Source organism: Homo sapiens, chromosome 7 (assembly GCF_000001405.40).
Source record: "Homo sapiens chromosome 7, GRCh38.p14 Primary Assembly".
NCBI lineage: Eukaryota > Metazoa > Chordata > Mammalia > Primates > Hominidae > Homo > Homo sapiens.
Genome location: NC_000007.14, coordinates 91,566,761 through 91,574,039, shown reverse-complemented (window position 1 = coordinate 91,574,039; position 7,279 = coordinate 91,566,761).

Here is a 7,279-nt window from a genome sequence, read left to right as displayed (position 1 = left end):
ATCTTGGTCATTTAGTTATAAAGTAGAGCTAAGCAGGCCAGGGGACTAAAGAGCTGACACATGGTATGTATTCAATAAATACTTCAATAAAAAAAGCCATTGTTGGAACTGTTACTGAAAGTCACCAAATTCTAGGCTGTTTTCCTTGTAACATCAGTGATCTTATAGCAGCTTTCATGGCTATGTGTTTATGACTCAATAGATATTTAAAGGAAGTTTAAATAATCAAAAAGTAATGTCAGTAGTTCCTTGAAGGTCCTATAAAATGACCTTACAACATTCAAAATATCAATGAATAACTTCTGCATTAGGGCATCAGAGTCACAAGATCCTTGCAAGAAGGTTTACAGCAAAAAAAAAAAAAAAAAAAGAGAGAGAGAAAGACTGATTACTTGTCACAGAATCGCTGAGTGAATCACTAAGTGAAGACCTGCCTATCACAGTTTTCTGTTCCTGAAATGTTGACTGCACATTTTGCTTCTGCTTGACATATCAAGCTAAGTAACTAAATGCTGATATTTGATATTATTTGATGTCATAATCAGATGCTCATTCAATACAAGTCACTGCCAAATTTTACAAAGACTTGCAGAAATTGAAATTCTAGTTAATGTTATCCTTCACTTGCTGCTTTGGTTCCAGAGTTTAAGTTAATTCTTTTCTAGGCTTTTAATTAAGCAGATGATGAGAGTGGGATGGGACAGGGGTCAACATTAAGTTTGGAGTATTGTTTTCTCATCATTCACCACAGCCTGCTTCAAATCTGTTTTATTTTTATTTTTGAGTTTATTTTTTCAGCACTGAGGAAAGCTGATAACATCATATATATTTGGTCTGCCCCAAGAATGTCACAGAGAGGCCAGATAGATGCATTCTCTCAAAAGACATAGATGCCTGTAGTATACTGAAGAATTTTCTAGTTATTTCCTAAGAGGTAGGTGTTATATATTTTGGAACATAGTTGTCTAGATTCTCTGGCAGAATAAAATAACTTTTGTTACTACAAAAATAACAGGGGTGGAGAAAAAAATTATGTTATCATAGGCTTTATTAAAGAGTGTGCCATGGAAAATGAATTATATAAGCTGCTCCAAGAAAGAAGGGTTCTCTGGCCAAGACCTTCACATCACACCTTCCTCTTGGTGGTTCCCAACACACGTTAACATAGTAAAGAATCTGATTGGTCCTGTGATGAGTAAATCATTTAGAATTGCTTAACCTGGAATTTTCTAAAGCTATTTATCATGAAACTCTCATCCTGTGGTACTTCCCATAGAAACACTAAACTGGTTATAATATAATTTTTAAAGTCTGTTTTCTTGCATTAATTAGACTAATGATTTACTTCCTACAGTCCAAGACATTATTTCCTGTTTATTTTATCTATAATATTTATTTAATCTAGATATATTTTCTTTCAGTTATTTTCTGCTAACAAGCTATGATAGTCCCTCCAAATGCTTAGTGCCACATGATCTTTTAAAATCAGTGACTCTCACTCTTCCCAAAGCCCTTGAGCTTCTGTGAACCAGTCTCATGTTTTTCTTTCCCTTTATTTTTGATCTTTGAAGCTTCATTGTCTTCTACTCTACAGTAGAACCATTGCAACGTAGCTGGCATTTGACCAGGTTCTGTTTTTCTCATTCCCATTTCTCTTACTCCCAATTGTTACTTTGCTCTCAAGATTTGATCAGTATGATATCTGTCATTTCAATAAAATGAAAACATTCCACATTATGGATATAATCTCTTGACAGACCAATATTGACCTGACTTCCATTTTTTTTTTTTTCCTGGATAGATTTACTACAGTCTTTCCCCCTGCGGTAGAGCCCTCAATATCTACTGAAAGTGTTGTAGAACTCAGGCCTGTGGTTTCTGCCCTGGCCCGGGCCAGTGGTTTGGCCCAACAGGGCCACCTTTCTGCCCTGCTGTAGGGTTGAAAGTATGGATGGATTCAATTTATTCAAGAAAATGTGGGGGGTGCCTTCAACATACTAGCATTGGGATACAGTGACAAGGAGAACAATCTAGGCAGGAACCTGTTTTTATGAAACAAATATTCTACTAGCTGAGAGTTTTGTCAGTGACTGCTGTTATTGTTTAAAATATAGTTTTTTAAAAAGGAATGCTGTCTTCACCCAGTTTTGAGGCACTGGCTGGAGGCTGGTCAGCTTCCCTCTCTGAGCCGCTGATTAAGTCCATACCCCCAAGGACTTCCCTTATCAGGCTCTCACATTCTGGAACTCTGTGCAACATCTCTAAATGCCTCATGGCCAGGTACCAGACAACTAAGAACAGCCCCTGTGAGCCAGAGAAATTATTCAAATAAGCCAGTTCACAGGGAGCTTAGGAAACCTAGCTAACCCCACCCAACTTGCCATGCACAAACTGCCTGCTATAGCTCAAGCTTGCTGTTGCCTTGCCTCAGGTGCAGTCCCTGTGTGGCCCTGGGTGGCATCATTCTGTTCTTTTATTTGCAGCTGGAAGCAGAAAAAAGTTTTGTTATTCATCTATTTGAGAGTGTTGGTGCATTGTGTCTCACCATCGAAATAACTTTCTTATAAAATTTAGCTGCAAGCAGCAAAATTTTGGTTTTTCCCTTCATTGTTCTGGAAATTGCAAAGGATTTAGAGGTACTAGTTGGTGGTGAAGAGGAGGTGGAATCATGATTTTAAAGAGAGAGGAATTCTTTTTTAAAAAATTAACTTGAATAACTTAATTTCCCCATCAAGGACTCTAGCAGATTAATATACCCCATTTATTCACATATTTATTGTGTGTTTACTATTTACTGTGGCCCTGGTATTATAATGCCAGGAGGTATGCAAGAAATAGAAAATGTGTATCCTTCTCTTGAGAAGCCTATAGATTAATACAGGAGATATGACATGCACTTAAAATGATTAGAGAGCCAAAATCAAGCATGTGGTAATGTAATCAAACCATCCTTAAGACAAAAAAAAAAAAAAAGAGAGAAAAAAGAAAGAAAGAAAATAATGCGAAAGAACTATAGAAATACATTTGCTTGCAATTTTCGATAACTAACCTAAAACCCCTTTTTTAGACTTTCCTAGTTATTCTGCTGGAGAAATATTTGTGTGATTGCTCTGTCCCTCAGTTCATTCTTCCCAGCTCTGAAAACCTTTTTCTGAGGCACTCAGGGCCTGGCTGTTTCCAGCCTTGCTATGAGAAGCTAAGATGTTCTGGAGCCATGTGGATTTGAGCTAAAGCAGCTAACAAGGTTCTCTCAAGGGATGGATTTGGAGGAATGTGTTGGCAGTTCAGATCAGATGAAGCCATTTATTTTAAAACTTGGGTGCATTTCAAAAAGGAAAATGGTTTCAGCACAAATCCATTTGCAATACCAACCTTCCTGGTTGGGGAATTGAATGTTTAGCTAATTTATTTTTGATGGGCAGGCTTCTGTGTGTTTTAAATGATGGCTGACTGGCCTGGAATTTGGACTCCTCTAGAAGGCATTGGCTTTCAAGGGAACTCACGCTTTTCCCAGAGGAGATGCAGGAAGCTGTAGTTGATCAAGCCTCTGCCCTTTCTGTGGACCTACTCTCCAGTGACCTTCAATCATTCTTCCTACCAATACTTTATTATTAAATATCTACCTTGAGTAAAGGATTGTGGCAGCCTCTGCAAGGAATGCCAAACTTGTCAACACAGAGAGGGCAAGGACTCTGTGCAAGGCAGAATATGCGCATTGCCATAAAAGAGGCATAAAGTGCATGGAGTGAGGAAGGAGTCACTTCAAACTGGGTGAATCAGAGGGAGCTTTACAGAGACAGAGGTACTTGAGCTGACACTTGGAGAACAGGTTTGATTTGGCAGCTAGAGAAGGGAATTGTAAACTACAGTGGGCCAACTGTCCCCTCCACTTGTTTTGATAAATAAAATTGATTTGGAACACAGCCATGCCCATTCATTAATGTATTGTCTATAACTGCTTTCACACAACAACAGAGTTGAGTAATTGTGACAGAGGCTTGTATGGCCCTCAAAGTCTAAAAAATTTACTATCTGGCTCTTTAGAGAAAAAGTTTGTGACCTCTGTTTAAAGTCAGTTGCTTAAGGGAATGATATATGGCCTTGCTGTTTGGACTTGATGTAGGCCAAAATATATGACTTCATTTGGCAGGCATTCTGGAGACAAAGTGCCTCTGAGTGCTGGGAGTGTTTGGATGATATGATGGTTCTGAACTTCAGGACAGTGAGTGTGGTAGATGGACTGTGGAAGAGAGATGCTACAGGCAGGAAGAAAAAATTCAGAAGTTCATGTTGTCACCTAAGTGAAAAATAATGAATCTGGATTAGAAGCATAGCTGTGATGAAAGAGAGAAGACACAAAAGACATTGTGAATAAAGCACTGTAAGGGAAGACCAAAGGAAAGAGAGAATTGAGGATGGCTCTGGAGTCTTGAGCCCGAATGACTGGGGATGTCAATGACCCCTTCTCTGAACATCCACCCATCTGAACAGGATGAATTGGGTACTCCTCCCACCCTACCCCAATTAGGAGAAGGGATAAAGCTGGAGTGGCTCCATCCCTCCAGGGCAGCTAGTGTTGGGAGGGGAGGTGGTCAGAAGCTTTTGTTATAGAGGGAGCAAGACCCAAAGCTTTGCCTATGGAAACGTATCTGTTACTAGACAGAAAATCAGGCTATGTTATCTCTGAGACAAAAATATTGCAAGAGTTGGAGGGGTGTCCTTGTAATTTGGGTCACCTTGGAGGATTGCCAGATGAAATATGAAATGCCCAGTTAAGTTTGAATTTCAGATTAACAAGGAATTTTTTTATAATTATGTCCCAAATATTGAATGAGAGATATTTATACTAAAAATTATTTGTGGTTGATCTGGAATTCAAATTTAATGGAATAAATTTCAGATCAACAGTGAATAATTTTTTAGTGCAAGTATTTCCCAAGTATGGAATATATTTATAATAAAAATTATCTGTTGTTCAAGTTTAGTTGGGCTTTTTATTTTTCTCTAAATCTGACAACCTTACTGTGCTGGGGTAAGCAGCCATAGCTCTCACTTTTGGGGAGACCGAGCACAAATTAGGACACCTGTATTTGCTTTACCATGTAGGAGTAGAGTTGACACGCCCAGGGTTTCTGGAGCCCACAGCGGAGTGGAGGACAGTTCAGTGAACATCAGGCCTGGGTATGAGGCACTTTTCTGGAGTGTGGACAAAGGATGGACCCAGGGGTGTGATAGGGTGAAGTTTCCAATGGTGGTGGTCTGATCATCTAGCTGAGACTTTAAAGAGGGTCTGGACTAAATAGGAAAAGTGAATTCAGGGTGGAGATAAATTCCTTAGAGGAGCCGCCTTTCAAAGACCTAATTCTGGAAGGAATTTTCTTGTGACAGAACAAAGCAACAGCTATGCTAGATGAAGGTTCCAGCTTCTATCACACTGGCTCCAATGTACAGATCTGCCTACTTCAGACCTTTGGAACTTTGACATATTAGCTCAGTAAATAGATGAACATTATCCACCCACAGTCATGGAGCTATGTGGTAGTTAATTTTTTTGTGTCAAGTTGGGTAGACTATGGTATTCAGTTGTTTGGTTTAACACCAGTCTAGATATTGCTGTGCAAGTATTTTCTTAGAGGTGATTAAAATTAAAGTCAGTAGACTTTAGATAAAGCTGATCACTTTCCGCAGTGTGGGTGGGCCTTACCCAATCAGTTGAAAGCCTTAAGAGAAAAGACAGTTTGCTGGAAGGGGAAGGAATTCTGCCTCTCAGCTGCCCTTGAATTCAAGACTGCAACATCAGCCCTTCCTGAAATTTTCCAGGCTGCTAGCCTGCCCTGCTAGCCAGCTCCTTAAATTGTTAGTCAATTACTTAAAATCTCTTTCTCTTGCTTTCCCTCTTGCTGTGTCTGTTTTGTTTCTCTAGAGAACCCTGACCCATACAGGCTGCCACGCAGGTGATCCTGGAGTGGCAATGACTTCCATCCCACTTCCCACCAATCTCACCCAGAGCCATTGCTGGTTTCTGGCAGTATAGATTCCTCTTCCCAACTCCAGGCCTGTGCAACAATAAGACCAAGCTCCCTGTTTACACAAATAGGTCACCACAATACAGTCCTTTAGTCAGGGGAAGGTAGGACCCACCTGGTCTGGGTCACACATCCAAGAGCTGTCATACAGGAGAGTGGGTTGTTCCCCATACATAGCTTGATGAGTACAGCCTTGGCCTTGCAACTTTCGGGTGTGGGACTGTGCCCTTTGACCTCAGACATGCTCCCAACACAGCAGCTCAAATTCACTCTGCACAAAGTGTGCTGTAGAGCAGTCTGTTTCTAAGAAGGCCGTTTTGTCAAATGTCTTTTCCTCTTTCTCCAGCCCCCTCACTGGAGAGACGATGCAAACAGAGACATGCAGATCGATACAGAAAATCAGGTGGAGGGTGTGTCTGCTCTTCTCCCAGCTCCCTAGCAACAGCTAGATCATCCTTTTATAAATCTTTTCATGGAAATTCTAGCCTTTCTGTGCAGGTCTCATCTCTGTTTTTTGTCTCTCAATATCTTTCTCCCTGCCTGTCTGTGTCTATCTATTTCTCTTTACCCTTTCCTCCCTCCCACCAACACCCTGTCTCTGTCTCTCTCTGCATGTTTCTTTCTCTCTGGTGTGATTTCCCACATTAACCACCGTCCATTTCTTTGATTCCTTCTTGGCAATGAGAGCTAGAGCACCATTATGCAACAAGCAGTCCTGCCTCCCTGCTACCTTAAAATAATACTGTTTCATGGTGACAAATGGATATGGTTAACAATGAAAGTAAAATGCTTAGCAGGCAGGGGTGTGACTGTGTCAGATTTCTCTGCTAGCAAAAACAGACAGTGGCCCGAGAATCTCTAAAGAAAGGAATCTGTATATGGGGATAGTTGGTGGTGTTTGCCAGGTGGACTCCTCTGCCGTTTTATTCTTAATTTAGCTTCTGTGAATCTCAAGACTAACTTCTCAAAGGTGATACAATAGTCATTCTTAATTTACTAAGTTTTTGTCTTGTCGTAAGAAACTTAAAATGTGTCAGTGGATGTTAAAATCTGGCCTTTCAGATTTACATCTGTTATTTTTCTTGGATTAAAAAAAAAAAGACAAGGAAAAAAAAACACCTCAATCTGAATTAATGAAGAAACATAATGCTTTTTGTGCCCTGGTGACTGAAGTTTCTACATTGTGTCAGAAAAGCCTCAATTAGAAGAAAGAAAGCAAGAAAGAAAGAAAAAAGAAGAAAGAAAAGAAAGGA